At 56.1% G+C, this 15,815-nt stretch overlaps 1 long non-coding RNA gene across 1 annotated transcript, besides 20 other annotated features; it reads right to left on the reverse strand.

The window, feature by feature from the left end:
- Positions 17–656: an enhancer, noted in NCBI's record as "H3K4me1 hESC enhancer chr19:18400800-18401439 (GRCh37/hg19 assembly coordinates)". NCBI's record gives its function as "activates a minimal SCP1, AML or CMV promoter by ChIP-STARR-seq in naive H9 embryonic stem cells {active_cell/tissue: H9 hESC(naive)}" and the evidence as "EXISTENCE:reporter gene assay evidence [ECO:0000049][PMID:30033119]".
- Positions 17–674: a biological region, named in NCBI's record as "CRISPRi-validated cis-regulatory element chr19.2871". NCBI's record gives its function as "regulatory_interactions: JUND".
- Positions 306–674: a transcriptional cis regulatory region, noted in NCBI's record as "candidate enhancer chr19.2871 targeted for multiplex CRISPR interference". NCBI's record gives its function as "positively regulates JUND gene expression with high confidence in K562 cells {active_cell/tissue: K562}" and the evidence as "EXISTENCE:mutant phenotype evidence [ECO:0000015][PMID:30612741]".
- On the reverse strand, positions 617–2,870 carry LOC124904653 (uncharacterized). The gene is made up of 2 exons (XR_007067155.1): positions 2,599–2,870; positions 617–1,914 (listed from the first exon to the last, which is right to left on the reverse strand). It is a non-coding gene; the product is annotated as an uncharacterized LOC124904653 (long non-coding RNA).
- Positions 709–758: a silencer, noted in NCBI's record as "silent region_10385". NCBI's record gives its function as "represses an Ori minimal core promoter by ATAC-STARR-seq in GM12878 lymphoblastoid cells {active_cell/tissue: GM12878}" and the evidence as "EXISTENCE:reporter gene assay evidence [ECO:0000049][PMID:35858748]".
- Positions 1,254–3,809: a transcriptional cis regulatory region, noted in NCBI's record as "candidate enhancer chr19.2872 targeted for multiplex CRISPR interference". NCBI's record gives its function as "positively regulates JUND gene expression with high confidence in K562 cells {active_cell/tissue: K562}" and the evidence as "EXISTENCE:mutant phenotype evidence [ECO:0000015][PMID:30612741]".
- Positions 1,254–3,853: a biological region, named in NCBI's record as "CRISPRi-validated cis-regulatory element chr19.2872". NCBI's record gives its function as "regulatory_interactions: JUND".
- Positions 1,439–1,868: a silencer, noted in NCBI's record as "silent region_10386". NCBI's record gives its function as "represses an Ori minimal core promoter by ATAC-STARR-seq in GM12878 lymphoblastoid cells {active_cell/tissue: GM12878}" and the evidence as "EXISTENCE:reporter gene assay evidence [ECO:0000049][PMID:35858748]".
- Positions 1,936–2,574: an enhancer, noted in NCBI's record as "H3K27ac-H3K4me1 hESC enhancer chr19:18402719-18403357 (GRCh37/hg19 assembly coordinates)". NCBI's record gives its function as "activates a minimal SCP1, AML or CMV promoter by ChIP-STARR-seq in naive H9 embryonic stem cells {active_cell/tissue: H9 hESC(naive)}" and the evidence as "EXISTENCE:reporter gene assay evidence [ECO:0000049][PMID:30033119]".
- Positions 2,319–2,488: a silencer, noted in NCBI's record as "silent region_10387". NCBI's record gives its function as "represses an Ori minimal core promoter by ATAC-STARR-seq in GM12878 lymphoblastoid cells {active_cell/tissue: GM12878}" and the evidence as "EXISTENCE:reporter gene assay evidence [ECO:0000049][PMID:35858748]".
- Positions 2,575–3,214: an enhancer, noted in NCBI's record as "H3K27ac-H3K4me1 hESC enhancer chr19:18403358-18403997 (GRCh37/hg19 assembly coordinates)". NCBI's record gives its function as "activates a minimal SCP1, AML or CMV promoter by ChIP-STARR-seq in naive and primed H9 embryonic stem cells {active_cell/tissue: H9 hESC(naive and primed)}" and the evidence as "EXISTENCE:reporter gene assay evidence [ECO:0000049][PMID:30033119]".
- Positions 3,215–3,853: an enhancer, noted in NCBI's record as "H3K27ac-H3K4me1 hESC enhancer chr19:18403998-18404636 (GRCh37/hg19 assembly coordinates)". NCBI's record gives its function as "activates a minimal SCP1, AML or CMV promoter by ChIP-STARR-seq in primed H9 embryonic stem cells {active_cell/tissue: H9 hESC(primed)}" and the evidence as "EXISTENCE:reporter gene assay evidence [ECO:0000049][PMID:30033119]".
- Positions 3,219–3,298: an enhancer, noted in NCBI's record as "active region_14311". NCBI's record gives its function as "activates an Ori minimal core promoter by ATAC-STARR-seq in GM12878 lymphoblastoid cells {active_cell/tissue: GM12878}" and the evidence as "EXISTENCE:reporter gene assay evidence [ECO:0000049][PMID:35858748]".
- Positions 3,443–3,645: a silencer, noted in NCBI's record as "fragment chr19:18404226-18404428 (GRCh37/hg19 assembly coordinates)". NCBI's record gives its function as "represses an EF-1alpha promoter that drives an FKBP-Casp9 reporter gene in an ReSE screen in HepG2 liver carcinoma cells {active_cell/tissue: HepG2}" and the evidence as "EXISTENCE:reporter gene assay evidence [ECO:0000049][PMID:32094911]".
- Positions 3,854–4,493: an enhancer, noted in NCBI's record as "H3K27ac-H3K4me1 hESC enhancer chr19:18404637-18405276 (GRCh37/hg19 assembly coordinates)". NCBI's record gives its function as "activates a minimal SCP1, AML or CMV promoter by ChIP-STARR-seq in primed H9 embryonic stem cells {active_cell/tissue: H9 hESC(primed)}" and the evidence as "EXISTENCE:reporter gene assay evidence [ECO:0000049][PMID:30033119]".
- Positions 4,730–4,912: a silencer, noted in NCBI's record as "fragment chr19:18405513-18405695 (GRCh37/hg19 assembly coordinates)". NCBI's record gives its function as "represses an EF-1alpha promoter that drives an FKBP-Casp9 reporter gene in an ReSE screen in HepG2 liver carcinoma cells {active_cell/tissue: HepG2}" and the evidence as "EXISTENCE:reporter gene assay evidence [ECO:0000049][PMID:32094911]".
- Positions 4,772–4,851: a silencer, noted in NCBI's record as "silent region_10388". NCBI's record gives its function as "represses an Ori minimal core promoter by ATAC-STARR-seq in GM12878 lymphoblastoid cells {active_cell/tissue: GM12878}" and the evidence as "EXISTENCE:reporter gene assay evidence [ECO:0000049][PMID:35858748]".
- Positions 11,077–11,496: a transcriptional cis regulatory region, noted in NCBI's record as "candidate enhancer chr19.2873 targeted for multiplex CRISPR interference". NCBI's record gives its function as "positively regulates expression of the KCNN1 gene with high confidence and the ISYNA1 gene with lower confidence in K562 cells {active_cell/tissue: K562}" and the evidence as "EXISTENCE:mutant phenotype evidence [ECO:0000015][PMID:30612741]".
- Positions 14,726–15,105: an enhancer, noted in NCBI's record as "active region_14312". NCBI's record gives its function as "activates an Ori minimal core promoter by ATAC-STARR-seq in GM12878 lymphoblastoid cells {active_cell/tissue: GM12878}" and the evidence as "EXISTENCE:reporter gene assay evidence [ECO:0000049][PMID:35858748]".
- Positions 14,726–15,501: a biological region, named in NCBI's record as "H3K27ac-H3K4me1 hESC enhancer GRCh37_chr19:18415779-18416284".
- Positions 14,996–15,501: an enhancer, noted in NCBI's record as "H3K27ac-H3K4me1 hESC enhancer chr19:18415779-18416284 (GRCh37/hg19 assembly coordinates)". NCBI's record gives its function as "activates a minimal SCP1, AML or CMV promoter by ChIP-STARR-seq in primed H9 embryonic stem cells {active_cell/tissue: H9 hESC(primed)}" and the evidence as "EXISTENCE:reporter gene assay evidence [ECO:0000049][PMID:30033119]".

Raw genomic sequence — 15,815 nt, forward strand, 5'->3', positions numbered from 1 at the left:
GAAGCAAGGTCATTTTAGAGAAGCATGCTGTAGGTTGGTCTCACGATTTTCCTTTAAGTTGGCCCCCTTTTCTGTTTTTACTTCAGTAAATACATTTTAAAAGGGAACCTTCATGTCACCACCAAGAATGGAAAACCAGTTTCTCTTGCTATAAATAGAAGGAAACCAAAAAACTATGAAATGAGAGCAAAGTCAGGCATTCCCACCTCAGGAACACTCAGGGCTGGGGCTGGACTTCGAATGTCTGAGTCTTATCAAAGGCAGGGAAGCCCCAAGCAGAAGGGCAGGAGGGGCCACAGGGACCCACTTGGCAGATGCTCCAGTCCCGTGGGTCCCAGCACACAGTAGGTGCTTGATGAATGTGTGTTGATCTGTTAACATGCAACCCATTATTGTAGGTGCCCCCCCCCACCATGATGTGTGGGTTTTGCCTGCATCCGACCACATACTCGTGGCTTTTCCAGGTACTGAGCCATTTCCCCGCTGACAGACTGAGGGCAGGGTGGTGCCTGAATGGGGAGGGGTGGGGGAGGTGGCAGGCAGCTGCCTCTTGGGCAGGGGACCCCACAGGGGCCTCTCTGGGGAGGCTTCGGTTTGGTTTGGTGACATGCCAGGATGCAGCTCTGGGCAAACGTTTATTTGCAGCCTTGGGGCTGTCCCCACCCACGGTCCTGTGGGCCCCTGACGTCTGTCCACACTGAGATGTGGGCCCCTGTGGCCCGCCGCCCTCCCTGGCTGTCTGTGGTGTGTGAATCAATGAATGAGTGAATGAGTAAAGGAATGAATGCAATAAGTAGCATAATGGATGAGTTCGTAGAATAATGAATGGATGAGTGAATTAATGAATGAGTGGAAGTATTCATGCTGCCAAGATGGGAAACCCATTCTCCAGGTATTCTTTTTTTTTTTTTTTAAGACACAGTCTTGCTCTGTCGCCCAGGCTGGAGTGCAATGGCACTATCTCGGCTCACTGCAGCCTCCACCTCCTGGGTTCAAGTGATTCTCCTGCCTCAGCCTCCTGAGTAGCTGGGATTACAGGCGTGCGCCACCACGCCCGGCTAATTTTTGTATTTTTGTAGAGACGGGATTTCACCATGTTGGCCAGGCTGGTCTGGAACTCCTGACCTCAAGTAATCCGTCCGCCTCGGCCTCCCAGAGTGCTGGGATTACAGGCGTGAGCCATCTAGATATGCTTTGTCCCCTTTTTTCGGATGGACAAACTGAGGCTGTCAGCCAAGAAAGGCTTCAGTATGTGGAAGGCAGATTCGAAGCCAGTTGGCCCTGCACATCGTGGGCTGCATTTCTGCACCAAGACTGGGGGTTCCTGGAGCGAGCTTAGGGGTCCGGACTGGTGCAGACGGGGCGCTGGACCTGGCCCCCAGCCAGCGGAAGGGATCTGGGCCCCAGATGGGGAGTAGATGGAACTGGAGGCAAGGCAGGCGGCAGGGGGTGAAGAGGCCGCTGCCCCAGGCTGCGGGGATGGGGAGGCACCGGCAGGGTCCGCGTTGATTCAGAAAGGACCCCAAGGAAGGAGCAACTTTGGGGGACCCCAAAGTTGTCTGAGTGGTATCAAAGGCCGTGCACATGGGGCCCTTAAGCGCTACAGCAGGGGCAATAGTGGAGAGACCCCACGCCTTCCCGCCTCCCGCTGCCCCCGCATCCCCTTCCTCCCGCCTCCCGCCTCCCCCCTGCTCCTCGCCTCTCGCTCTCCCGGGGAGGAAGTGGCGAGAATGCGGGGGTGGGCACCCTATTCTCACTTCCCCTGGGGAAGGGCGGGGCCTGCGGGGTCCTCTCCGCCGCCGGGAGACGGCATCTCCGCGTACAGGGGTGGGGGCGGGGAGCCCTAGGAGCTGGGCAGGCGCTGCTCAGTCCCTGGCCAGGTGACGTCCGTAAGTTTCCTGGTCTTCGATGGTTCTCGAATGAAAAATGGGGGGAAAGACATTGAGTTGGAAACAGCGAGTTGTTGGGGAGAGAGGACCCCACCCCGGGCCGGTACTAGCAGCCAGACACGGACACGCCCTGCCCCGGAGGGGTCAGGGCCAGGCCGAAGGGAGGGAAGTCGCAGTAAACACAGGGTTGGGTTGGGGCGGGAGGCGCATTCCAGGCGGAGGGAACGGCGCGGGCAGAGGCCTGGAGGCTGGTGGAGGCCTCCTGCCTCGCCTAGCTGCGGGGTCCTCAGCGTGTGGCCCCTCCCCTAATGGGAGGGGGGGAGAAAGGATCCGGGGGGAGAGGTCTCGGAGCTGTCGGCGGCAGTGGAAGAGTTAACTTCCCGGGGCTGCCGGACCCCGCCGCGAGCTGGCGGGTGGCGTCAGCGCCAACGTCAGGGCGAAGTGGTGCCGCGTAGACGCGGACGCTTCGGCCGCCCGGCCCCCACCCCACGCGGCGCTGGAGGCCGCGGGGATGGGGGCGGGGGCGGTCGGCCCTGCAAGCAATTTACTGGGCTCTGTGCAGAGAGGGAAATTGAGGCACGGGAACGGCCGTGGCCTGGCTGGTGCTAAGCCCGCTAGCCCGCGTCCCACACTACCGCCCCCTCCCAGCTCCTCCAGGTCGCCGGACGACCTGGAGCTGGTTTGGGCTTGTTTTCCATTGCGCAAATACCTGCGAATAAACGTTTGCCCCGAGCTGCGACTTGGCACATCACCACCTCTGCATGGCCTCAGTTTCCTCAACCGGATAATGGGGAGAGTTGACATTTAGTGTGGGCGCTGGGTTCGGCCTTGAAAAGGGGGTGTGGGAGGGGACTGCACCCCAAGAAAGAGGCTGGAGCGGGGACACCTGCGAGGCTGTCTGTGAATTCCGGGCTGGTTCTCCAGCCCCCTCCTCTCCTCCCGTCGCTCACTCCCCTCCTCTCCCTCCCCTTCCTGCTTCAGCTTCCCCTCCCCTCTTCCTTATCCCCTTCTCCCTCCCGTCTCCCCCGATCTCCTCTCCACCCCCTCTCTCCCTTTCCCCCGCCCGCCCAGCGAGGCCGCCCCACCGGACTGCTAATTAAATGCAGAGCTGGGGGGAAGGGACGGCGCGTGGTTAACCCCTTCCCCGCCGGGGCCCTGAACCGGGGATGGGGAAGGGTGTCCGCCACCGGAATTTCCTCCCCCCCAGGGGCAGGCCTTAAGCTCTAGGACAAGCCCATTTATTGAGTGGGTATATCGAGGCCAAAGGAACGGCCCCAACGTTCTGGGTGAGGCTGTACTAAATCGGGCCTCCTGATTGGAGGGCCAGAGCTTCGAGATAGCGGAAGAGAAAAGCAATATCGTGGCTTGGAAATAAACCAAGAGAAAAAAAAATGAGTTGGAAGGAGAGACAGCGGGAGAGGGAGGCTGGAAAAAAATCTAGGAGCAAGACAGAGACAGAGAGACAACCAGGTAAGGGAGGTGGAGCTCCGGGTGTGGCCTGGAGGCACCCAGGCAGGCTCCCGGTAGGAGGCGGCTTCCTGGAGGAACCTGTGGTGGAATAACTCCTGGCCCTGGTGTTAGCCTCCAGGCCTGGCTCACGCACTGACTGCTGACTTCTGATAGGGCCTTGTGGCCTGAAAGGAAGGTCATGCCTGCCTTTGGAGCCATCGGTCAACCCAAGTCCCCGCCCTGTCCCTGAAAACATCAGAGAGGAGCCCAGCGAAGCGAAGTGTGGGCTATGTGCTGTGAGGTGACTCAGTGGCCCCTCATTCTTGGGACGGGAACAACTGAAAGAAGTGAATGATATAAAGTCAGGTGGTGAGAAAGCAAATGACAGCAGGCGGAGGGAGTGTGGGGTGGGGGGGGCCAGAGGATCCATGATACCAGCAGCAGGGCCACCATGAGGATGCCCCAGGGAAGGGTGTTCCTGAAAGCTGGAGTAGCACGTGCAAAGGCCCTGGGGAGGAATTTGAGGTATTTGTTTGTTTGTTTTTTGAGAGGAGTCTCCCTCTGTCCCCCAGGCTGGAGTACAGTGGTGCGATCTCAGCTCACTGCAACCTCCACCTACCAGGTTCACGCGATTCTTCTGCCTCAGCCTCCCGAGTAGCTGGAATTACAGGCGTGCGCCACGATGCCCAGCTAATTTTGTATTTTTAGTAGACAGGGTTTCACCATATTGGCCAGGATGGTCTCCACCTCTTGATCTCGTGATTCGTCCGCCTCAGCCTCCTAAAGTGTTGGGATTACAGGCGTAAGCCACTGTACCCGGGCTGAATTTGAGGTGTGTTAAGGGAACATCCAGGAGGAGGCGTGGCGCAGGGTGAGGAGAGATGGAGGATTACAGGGGCCTCCAGATCCTAAGCAGGGAGGGTGGGGGGTGGCTTGAGTCCTTGGCCAGCCCAGGTGGAGCCTGTGACTGCTCTCCCTGCCTCACTTTTCCTACCATTATGCATGCTCCAGAAGCAGCAGGGGAGGCTTTGGGGATGTGGAGGTTGCCCAGGGTCACAGGGACCCCTGTTGTGCCCTCCGTCAGTGCCCCTCTGGCCTCCCCACACCCTCTGTGGCTCCCTGCTGTGGCCAGTCTTCCCCATCATCGCCCCTGGCTCTCTTCTCTCCTGCAGTCCAGCCACTCAGCCCTTGTACATGTCCCTCATCTGTTCTCACAATGCCCACCCCAGGTGACAACATCCTCCCAAGCCCCCTTCAGGAGATGGTGGGGCTGACACTAACAGGGGAGGGGGTGTAGGGAAGGTGAGCACCCTGGCCCCTGAGTGCTGCACACAAACTGTGTAAAAATAGCTGCTCCCCCTGCCCCCTGTGAGGAGGCGGCTGTGACGGTGGTGGCTGCAGTGACGGGGATGTGCCCAGAGAAGCATCCGGCAGGGCCAGTTGCCATGGTGATGCTGACTCAGCGGCAGAGGCAGGTAGCAGCATCTGGTACCCGGCCGGCACGCCTCTGCTTGGCCTACGCTCATAGCACCCTGTCCAGCCCCAACTTTCCAGCCTCCACCCTGGGGGTGTCTTCTGAGGCTGCAGAGGGGTGGGTGAGACCTCGGGAAGGACTGGACAAGTTCCTCCACCAGACACCACTCAGTCATCTGCTGGAAGGTGGGAGACGCTGCTTCTCATGGAGCGGACCTCAGTGTCAGGTCTTCCTCCCTCTATCAGCCATCCGCCCATCTACCTACTCACCCATCCATCCACTCATCCACCATCCACTCATCCCCCATCCATCCACCATCCACCCATCCATCTACCATCTGCCCATCTACCATCCATCCACCCACCTGTCCATCTATCCACCCATCCACCATCCACTCATCCCCCATCCATCATCCACCAATCAGTCCATCATCCACCCATCCATCCACCATCTACCCATTCATCCATCCATCCATTCCTCCACCCAGCGGCCATCCATCCATGCACCATCTACCCATCCACCATCTGCCCATCCACCATCCATCCATCTACCCACCATCCATCCATCTACCCACCCACCCATGCATCCACCATCCACCCATTCACCATCCACCCATCCACCATCCGTCCACCGTCCACCCATCCACCACCTAACCATCCACCAGCCATCCATCCACCTGTCTACCCACTGACCCATCCATCCACCATCCACTCACCCACCCATCCACCCATCCATCCACCCATCCACCTATCTACCCACCCACCCATGTATCCACCATCCACCCATTCACCATCCACCCATCCATCCACCATCTACCCATCCACCATCCATCCACCATCCACCTACCATCTACCCATCCACCATCCATCCACCATCCACTCATCCATCTACCATCTACCCATCCACCATCCATCCACCATCCACTCATCCATCTACCATCTACCCATCCACCATCCATCCATCCATCCACCTATCTACCCACCAATCCATCCATCCACCATCCACTCATCCACCCATCCATCCACCATCCACCCATCCACCTATCTACCCACCCACCCATCCATCCACCCATCCATCCACCCATCCACCTATCCACCATCCACCCATCCGTCCACCATCCACCCTTCCATCCACCAATCCACCTATTCATCCAGCCACCCATCCACTTACCACACACCCACCCATCCATCCATTCCTGTGTTCATCCATTCACTCAACATTTTTGGAGCACTTACCGTGTACTGACATCCTTCTGGGCACATGGTGGTTGCCACTGTCGATGCAGGCAGGGTATCAGCAGTCTGGGGTGCAGGGACTTGGGTGAGGACAAGGCCTCCTTGGCTACTTGGAGCCAGGCCTTGAGATGCTGAGGCCCTATCTCTTCCTTGTTCTCCTAGTCTTGCTCCCTCTCTCTTCCTGCATCTCTCAATCTCTCTGTTTTCCCATCTGAGTCCATCTTAGATCCTTCCCCATATCCCCAGGCCCCCCAGCAGCTGCCGTCTATTCCCCTCTTCTTCTCCCCACTCACTTGTTCCATGCCAGCTTTCCCTTGGGTACAGCTATGTATTCCCACCTCGGGGTCTTTGCACATGCTGTTCCCACTGTCTGGGAGACTCACTCACCTGGAATTGATCATATTTAATTCTTGGCTGGCTTTCTTTCTTTCTTTCTCTCTCTCTCTCTTTTTTTTTTTGAGATGGAGTCTCACTCTGTTGCCCAGGATGGAGTGCAGTGACGCAGTCACAGCTCACTGCCCCCTCCATCTCCCGGGTTCAAGCGATTCACCTGCCTCAGCGTCCCGAGTAGCTGGGATTACAGGCACACGGCACCACACCCTGCTAATTTTTGTATTTTTAGTAGAAACGGGGTTTCACCATGTTGGCCAGGCTGGTCTTGAACTCCTGACCTCAGGTGATCTGCCCACCTTGGCCTCCCAAAGTGCTCTGGGTTTACCATATTTAATTCTTGCCTTCCTTAATGTCTGCCTCTATCCCCATCCCCAGAGTATAAAGGCCAAAGAGCTGACCTGTGGTTCTTTCAGGGACCTATTTGTGCCTTCATATCTCCAACTACGAAATGGGTAAATGGACATGGTGCTAGCAGGATGACCTCATAACTGGGGCAGGGGTTGGGAGGAAGCCCTTAGACCTGTGCCCACTGCAGATTAAACACTCAGTAAACTCCCTTCCTTGGAAACAGCCCAAATGTCCATCAGCTGATGAAGGATCAACAAAATGTGGTCCACCCACACAATGGAATATGATGCAGCCACAAAAAGGCATGAAGCAGGCCGGGCACAGTGGCTCATGCCTGTAATCCCAGCACTTTGGGAGGCCGAGGCGGGCAGATCATGAGGTCGGGAGTTCAAGACCAGCCTGGCCAACATAGTGAAACCCCGTCTCTACTAAAAATACAAAAATTAGCTGGGTGTGGTGGCACACATCTGTAGTCCCAGCTACTCAGAAGGCTGAGGCAGGAGAATCGCTTGACCCGGGAGGCAGAGGTTGCAGTGAGCTGAGATCGCACCATTGCACTCCAGCATGGGTGACAGCATAAGACTTAAGACTCCATCTCCAAAAAAAAAGGCATGAAGCACTAGTCTGTGCTACCACGTGCACAAAACTCGAAAACACGATGCTGAGTGAGAGAAGCCAGGCATGAAAGGCCACACAGTGTGAGATTCCATTGATATGAAATGTCCAGGACAGGCAAATCCACAGAGACAGGAAGCAGCTTCCTGGTTGCCAGGGGCTTGGGGGAAGGGAATGGGGAGTAACTGCTGATGGGGACCAGGTCTCCTTTGGAAGGGATGAACATGTTCTAGAATTAGAGGCGATGGTTGCACAACAGTGTGTGTGTATTAAATGCCCCTGAATTATACACTTTAAAGTGGTTCATTTTATGTTATGTGACTCCTGCCTTACTTTATTTTAATTTTTTGAGACAGGGTTTCACTCTCTTGCCCAGGCTGGAGTGCAGTGGCATGATCTTGGCTCACTGCAACCTCCGCCTCCTGGGATCAAGCAGTTCTCCTGCCTCAGCCTCCCAAGTAGCTGAGATTACAGGTGTGCACCACCACAACCAGCTGATTTTTGTATTTTAGTAGAGACGTGGTTTCACCAGGCTGGTCTTGAACTCCTGGCCTCAAGCCATATGCCCACCTCAGCCTCCCAAAGTCATGGCTCCCATGAGCCACCGCGCCTGGCCTTCAATTTATTTTTTAGAGACAAGGTCTTCCTCTGTCGTTCAGGCAGAGGTCAAACCGTGCAGTGGTTCAATCTTGGTTCACTGCAGCCTGGTCTCCAGGGCTCAACCAATCCTCCCACCTCAGCCTCCTGAGCAGCTGGTACTTACAGGGGCCACGCCACCATGCCAGGCCAATTTTGTTTATTTTTTGTAGAGATGAGGTTTCACTATGTTGCCTAGGCTGCTCTCGAATCCACTTTCCTGGATTCAAGCGATCCTCCTGCCTTGGCCTCCCAAAGTTCTGGGATTATAGGCGTGAGCCACCACCATGCCAGGCACCTCAATTTTTTTTTTTTTTTTTTTTTGGAGACAGAGTTTCACTCTTTTTGCCCAGGCTGGAGTGCAATCGTGCGATCTCCGCTCACTGCAACCTCTGCCTCCTGGGTTCAAGCAATTCTTCTTCCTCAGACTCCTGAGTAGCTGAGATTACAGGTATGTGCCACCACACCTGGCTAATTTTGTATTTTTAATAGAGACGGGGTTTCTCCATGTTGGTCAGGCTGGTCTGGTCTCGAACTCCTGACTGCAGGTGATCCGCCGGCCTCGGCCTCCCAAAGTGCTGGGATTATAGGCGTGAGCCACCGCACCCAACCACCTCAGTTTTTTTTGTTAAGTACAGTACATTAGGTAAAAACGAAGGAAATCTGAATAAAGTAGGGAATTTAGTCATTACAAACAAAACAAAACTGCTTCTTAAGTGGTTCAGGGAGGTTGGTTCTCTGAAGGTGTCTCTAGGTTGACTCATCCTCTCTAAGGGAAAACAGAGGGCCAGGGAGGCCCTCACATCTACAGTGTGCCAGCCCTTGCCCGGTACCCTTACCCTTGCTTTTTGTTTTTTTTTGAGATGGAGTTTCACGTTGTCACTCAGGCTAGTGTGCAGTGCCATGATCTCGGCTGACTGCAACCTCTGCTTCCTGGGTTCAAGTGATTCTACTGCCTCAGCCTCCCAAGTAGCTTGGACTACAGGCATACACAGCCACGCCCGGCTAATTTTTGTATTTTTAGTAGAGACGGGGTTTCGCCATGTTGTGGCCAGGCTGGACTCGAACTCCTGACCTCAGGTGATCCGCCTGCCTCGGCCTCTCAAAGTGCTGAGATTACAGGCGTGAGCCACTGTGCCCTGCTCCCTCGCCCTCACTTTGCTCGCCAGCCAGCTGACTGCCTTTTCAACACACCCAGCACACACTTTCTTCAGTGCCTTGACACCTGCCATTCTCTCTAATTGGAAGCCTCAGGTGATCGAGAAACGCTGGATTCCACCCCAGCAGGTGGAACCGAGGTACAGTTCTGTGTGCTCTGTTATCCCCACCTTCCTTAGGCCACCAGAAAGGTCAAGGTGCTTGGTGGTTAGGACAAAGTTGACCGCACCTTGGGGCCACAGAGGCCGTTGAATATGACCAGGGAGGCTGACAGCCTGAGATGACAGCAGGGTGTGAGGGTATCTTGGAGGGCACAGTGCACACCCCTCTCCCACCCTGGGAGGGAGAGGACCCTATAAGTTAAGTGGGGTCTCGAAGCCAGTGGGAGGGTGAGGAGGTGGAATTCAGACCAGCTGGGGGCTCTGTCAAAAGGGCCTGCTTCTGGCTGCCTCAACAATGCAAACGGCAAGAACTTTTTTTTTTTGGTGGGGGGGGGGTCTTGCTTTGTCACCCAGGCTGGAGTGCAGTGGCGCAATCATGGCTCACTGTAGCCTCAACCTCCCTACTCAAGTGATCCTCCCCCTTCAGCCTCCTCAGCAGCTGGGACTACAGGTGTGTACCGCCGTGCTTGGCTAATTTCATTTGTTTTGTAGAGGTAGGGTCTCACTATGTTGCCCAGACTGGGATCCTGGGCTCCAGCCATCCGCCCGCCTTGGCGTCCCAAAGTATTGGGATTACAGGCTTGAGCTACTGTGCCCGGCCAAGAACCATTTTTAAATCTAATTAATTTTTTTTTTTTTGAGATGAAGTTTTGCTCTTCTTACCCAGGCTGGAGTGCAGTGGCGAGATCTCAGCTCACTGCAACCTCTGCCTCCCGGGTTAAAGCAATTCTCGTGCCTCAGCCTCCTGAGTAGCTGGGATTACAGGTGCCTGCCACCACACCCGGTTAATTTTTTTGTTTGTTTGTTTTGGTTTTTTTGAGACAGAGTCTCACTCTGTTGCCAGGCTGGAGTGCAGTGGTGTGACCTCGGCTCATTGCAACCTCTGCCTCCCGGGTTCAAGCAATTCTTCTGCCTCAGCCTCCCGAGTAGCTGGGACTACAGGTGTGTGCCACCAGGCCTGGCTAATTTTTGTATTTTTAGTAGAGACGGGGTTTCACCATGTTAGCCAGGATGGTCTCCATCTCTTGACTTCATGATCCGCCCGCCTCGGCCTCCCAAAGTGCTGGGATTACAGGTGTGAGCCACCACGCCCGGCCAATTTTTATATTTTTTAGTAGAGACGGGGTTTCACCATGTTTCCCAGGCTGGTGTCAAACTCCTGACTTCAGGTGGTCCACCCACCTCAGCCTCCCAAAGTGCTGGGATTACAGGCATAAGCCACTGCACCTGGCCCATTTTTTTAATTTTTAATTTTTTTTCCCAAGACAGTCTTGCTCTGTCACCCAGGCTGGAGTGCAGTGGCATGATCTCGGCTCACTGCAACCCCCACCTCCCAGGTTAAAGCAATTCTCCTGCCTCAGCCTCCCGAGTAGATGGGATTACTGGCGCTCACCACCATGCCCGCCTAATTTCTGTATTTTTAGTAGAGACTGGGTTTCACCGTGTTAGCCAGGCTGGTCTTGAACTCCTGACCTCGTGATCCGCCCGCCTCAGCCTCCCAAAGTGCTGGGATTACAGGTGTGAGCCACCACCCCCAGCCATTTTTTTAATGTTTAAGGAAAACTGCTGGGCAGTGAAGGTCTCCCCAGACAATGTCACTGAGCCCCGGCCTCCCCAACCTGGTCTGAGATTTCAGGGGGTTTCAGAAGAAGCTGACCTTTGAGAAGGCTCTGGGGCCAGGATGTCTGAGTTACTTGATGCTGGAGGGGTGGGGCAAGGAGGGTCTGGCCCTGGTGGTGCAGAGGAGGGGAGATGAGGGTGGGGAAGACACTTGAGGACGTGAGGAGTATTTTTAGGTGCTGAATGCAGCCCTGAAATATTTCCACGGCCACTCCCGAGAGCGAGCTGGGTGACTATTTCGGTGCCTGGTTCCAGTGGAGGCGGGGCAGGGGTGAGTCACTCACTGCCCAGTGGCCGCAGAGGCCAGGCCCAGGCTGGGAGGCGGCTCGAAGGGCAGGATCGCAGGCCTGCAAGGTGAACGGTCACTGGCCTGGGGCCAGGCTTCCTAAGCCAGCCTCCAGGGCACAGAGGACAGCGGCCTTTCTATTCCCCATGGCACTGGCCAATCCAGAGGGGCCACTGCCTGGGTGCCCTGGGACAATGAGCTGCTCACGCCAACCCCATAGTTGTAAAGATGGAGGGTCCCCCGTGAGGTTCTGGACACCCCACAGGTGCTAGGCGAGATGCCATCTTAGATTATTTCAAGCATTTATTGAGCACTTGCTGTATACCAGGCCAGTCCTAAAATGATTACTGGCATCCTCCCTTCATGCAATCTGCCCAATAACCCCCATGAGGTAGAGCTGCTGTTATCCCCCCGACCAGGGAGGAAACTGAGGCACGGTAGGGTTAAGCCCTCCAGGCACCTAACTATGTGCCTCAAATCCTGTCCCTCAGCTGATGTTACAATCAGGGGAGTGAGTTTTAAAGCAGCAGCCGATCTTGCTTACCCCCCACACCCTATTCCCAACCAATTTTGGGGTCCTGACTGTGCCTGAGCTGGGAGAAGGTCAATGGATCCTTCAGGTTTAAGGAGGCAGTGGAAAGAGGAGGTCACCATTGCTGTGTGACCTGGGGCAGGTTCCTCACCCTCTCTGTGCCTGAGCAGTGAATGACGATGCCACCCTATGGGTGAGTTCCGGAGCTGCCTGGCACACATTCATGATAGATAAACAATGGTTGGCTGAGCATACTGGCTCAGGCCTGTAATCCCAGCACTTTGGGAGGCTAAGGTGGGAGGATCGTTTGAGCCTAGGAGTTTGAGACCAGCCTGGACAACATGGTGAGACCCCTATCTGTAAAAAAAATAAAAAACAATTATCGGCTGTTGCTTGGATTGTGTGCCTGTCCTGAGCCTTCATTTCTCCATCTGTGAGGACCCTCGGAGGTGCTGGGTTGGAAGTGGCTTTGGAAACCCACGGGGCTGAGCGGCAAGGCTGAGTGGGAGCTCGGGGAATCCTCGCCCTCACTCGAAGTCTCCTTGAGAAGAGGCTGATGCTTGGCCGGGCGAGATGGCTTACGCCTGTAATCCCAGCACTTTGGGAGGCCGAGGCGGGCGGATTGCCCGAGGTCAGGAGTTCGAGACCAGCCTAGCCAACATGGCGAAATCCTGTCTCTACTAAAAAATGCAAAAATTAGCTGGGCGTGGTGGCGGACGCCTGTAATCCCAGCTATTCGGGAGGCTGAGGCAGGAGAATTGCTTGAACCTGAGAGACAGAGGTTTCAGTAAGTGGAGATCGCGCCACTGCCCTCCGGCCAGGGCGACAGAGTGAGACTTTGTCTCAAAAAAAAAAAAAAAAAAAAGAAGTGGCTGATGCCAAGCGTCAGGAACAGATCCCTGCAAGTGCCCACCCCAGCTCCTGTAGGGGCTTCTTTTTTATTTTATTTTATTTTATTTTTTCTTTTGAGACGGAGTCTTGCTCTGTCGCCCAGGCTGGAGTGCAGTGGCGTGATCTCCGATCACTGCAAGCTCCGCCTCCCTGGTTCGCGGCATTCTCCTGCCTCAGCCTCCCAAGTAGCTGGGACCACAGGCGCCCACCCGCCTTGCCTTCCCAAAGTGCTGGGATTACAGGCATGAGCCACCGCGCCCGGCCCTGTAGGGGCTTCTGGCCTGAGCCCTGACCCCCTCTGCCCCTTCCCCACAGAAGTTCAGAGGCTCCGTGCTTGCAGTTCCTCCACCTGTTCCGGCTCTCTCTGTGTGGCCAGCAGCTTCTTGTCCACTCGAGACTTGGTTTGACTGGACCTCCTCTTAAATTTTTAAAAAATTTTTAATTTATTATTAGTAGTATCATTTTTTTGAGACAGACTCTCGTTCTGTCGCCCAGGCTGGAGTGCAGTGGCGCTATCTTGGCTCACTGCAACCTCTGCCTCCTGGGTTTAAGCAATTCTCCTGCCTCAGCCTCCTGAGTAGCTGGGATTACAGGCACCACGTGCCACCACACCTGGCTAATTTTTGTATTCTTAGTAGAAATAAGGTTTCACCTCGTTGGCCAGGCTGGTCTCAAACTCCTGGCCTCAGGTGATCCGCCTGCCTCGACCTCCCAAAGTGTTGGAATTACAGTTGCCGCTGTGAGCCACAGCACCCAGCCGGCCTCCTCTTGCTCTGTGGAAAGGAGGTGCCACCTCGGGGTCCTGCACTTCCTGGGCAAGGCCAGCTGGTCAGCCTAGGCCCTGGCAGCCTCCTCCTCCCTGCCCTGAGGCCCCAGCACTGCCCCCTTCCTGCTTCCACCCCTGCTTCTGACTGTTCCAGAACCCTCTGTGGCTGCTTCTCATGTCACTCAGGGCCCACATCCTCCCCATTTCCTGCCCTTCTGTTTGCTCCTGTGTCCCCTGGGCACAGGGCCTTTGCACGGGACTGTCCTCCTGACCCCTGCTGGTCCAGAATGTTCTTTCCCAAGGTGGCTGGCTCCCTCGTCTCTCAGGCCCTTCCTGAATCTTCAGTGTCCTTCTCTCACCTTCCCTGACCACCTCTTCATTCACCTCCTCACGAGCCCGCCCTGTTTCTGGTTTCTTTTTCTTTTTTTTGAGAGTCTCGATCTGTCGCCCAGGCTGGAGTGCAGTGGCGCGATCTCAGCTCACTGCAACCTCCGCCTCCCAGGTTCAAGCGATTCTCCTGCCTCAGCCTTCTGAGTAGCTGGGATTACAGGTTTGTGCCATCACGTCCGGCTAATTTTTGTATTTTTAATAGAGATGGGGTTTCACCATGATGGCCAGGTTTTGAACTCCTTATCTCAGGTGATCCGCCCACTTCGGCCTCCCAAAGTGCTGGGGTTACAGGCATGAGCCACTGCGCCTGGCCTGGTTTCTTCTTTTTACAGCATTTATGCATTTGATATGCATATGCTTGTGGCTGGCTCACTCCTGTGGAAGGGAAGGATTGCCGGGGCTGTGTCACCAGCACCTGGGACAAGGCAAGTGGCCCTAGTGCCAGGCTCGTGCCAGGCCCTGGGCTCCAAAAGAAGAAGGTGGGGAGGGAGGTGACAGGGACACAGGCCATCTGGGGGTGGCTGTCAGAGTAGTGCTGGGAACAGCAGGTGAAGCCCAGAGGAGGAGAGGAGGAGGAGAGAGAGGAGGGGGATGGGGGATGGGAGTGGGGGATGAGTGGAGGAGGATGGAGGAGGAGGGGAATGGGGAGGAAGATGGGGAGTGAGAGGAGGGGGATGGGGGAGGAGAAGGAGAAGGAGGAGGAGGAGGAGGAGAGAGGGATGGCTTCCCACAGCTGCCTCTCGGGGGCCACTGCCCAAGGCCAGCCTCTGCACTTTTGTCCCTGAAGCGGGTGTTTGGCTCCAGGATGAGGTGGCGTCAGCAGCCGACCCGGGCCTGTCGCACTCTGGCGGGGGACTGTGGGCTGGCCCTGCAGAGCTCAGCCCCCGGCTGAGTCACAGCACAGCGCCAGGCGTGGGCCTCCCTAACAGAAAGCAAACTCCAGGCGAGAAGGTCTGGGGGCGGGTGGGGACCATCTACGATAAAGGCAGCCCCAGTTGGGTGAGGAGGGCACAGACCATCGGAGGGACAGAAAGACCTGGAAGCCTTGGATTTAGGAACTAGACTGGTGCTTTTGGTTTCTTTTCTTGTTGAGGGGGCTGAGGATGAGGCTTTGTGAAACCAACCAGGAAGAATGAAACACAGAGCTGGTCCGACACCCAGCTCGAGGGAGGGGGGCCGGAAGCTTCTGGAAGTTGGCTGCCCCTAAGCAGGGGCCACTCTAGCCCACAAGGCCAAGTTGGCAGAGGCAGACGAGGGGACTCTGCGGCTCAAGTCACGGGCCAGGAGCCCGCAGCTGCCGGGCTGGAAAGGTCAGAGCCGGCTCTGCGTCTGGCTGCGCCGGCAAGAAGCCACAATTACGCAGGCAAAAGAGCCCGGGGATTAGCCCCAGCACCTGGGACCCTGAATGGTGAGAAGGCACCTAGGGGGTGTTGGAACACATTCTGAGTTCAGAGCCTGGTCAGGGAGAAAAAACCAAACGGAGATCAGGAAGGGGAAGGGGCCTTCGAGGGCTTTCCCATCCCAACTTCCCAGGATGCCTGACCCCAGAGCTCCTGGATTTGATCCACGCCTCGTGACACACACAACCCCTGGGAGGAAGGAGCCCAGGCCCCTTGGAGAGCCCCAGAGGCCTCTAAGGGCCGGTGAGTCTAGGACATGGGGCAGGAGCTGCAAATGGGGCCTCCCTGCTCCCCACCCTTCCTTCCCTCCTCCTCTAAACATTGCCCCACCCACCTCGCCCTGTGAGCCCAGCCCCCTGCACGGCCCACACTGTAGGGGCATGGGGTGTGCCAAGAGATGCTCCTGTCGACCAGGCGCAGTGGCTCATGCCTGTAATCCCAGCACTTTGGGAGGCCAAGGCGGGAGGATCACTTGAGATCAGGAGTTCAAGACCAGCCTCGCCAACATGGTGGAACTGTGTCTGTACTAAAAATACAAAAATTAGCCGTCTGTGTTGGTGCACACCTGTAAT

Source organism: Homo sapiens, chromosome 19 (assembly GCF_000001405.40).
Source record: "Homo sapiens chromosome 19, GRCh38.p14 Primary Assembly".
In the NCBI taxonomy this organism is placed as follows: Eukaryota; Metazoa; Chordata; class Mammalia; order Primates; family Hominidae; genus Homo; species Homo sapiens.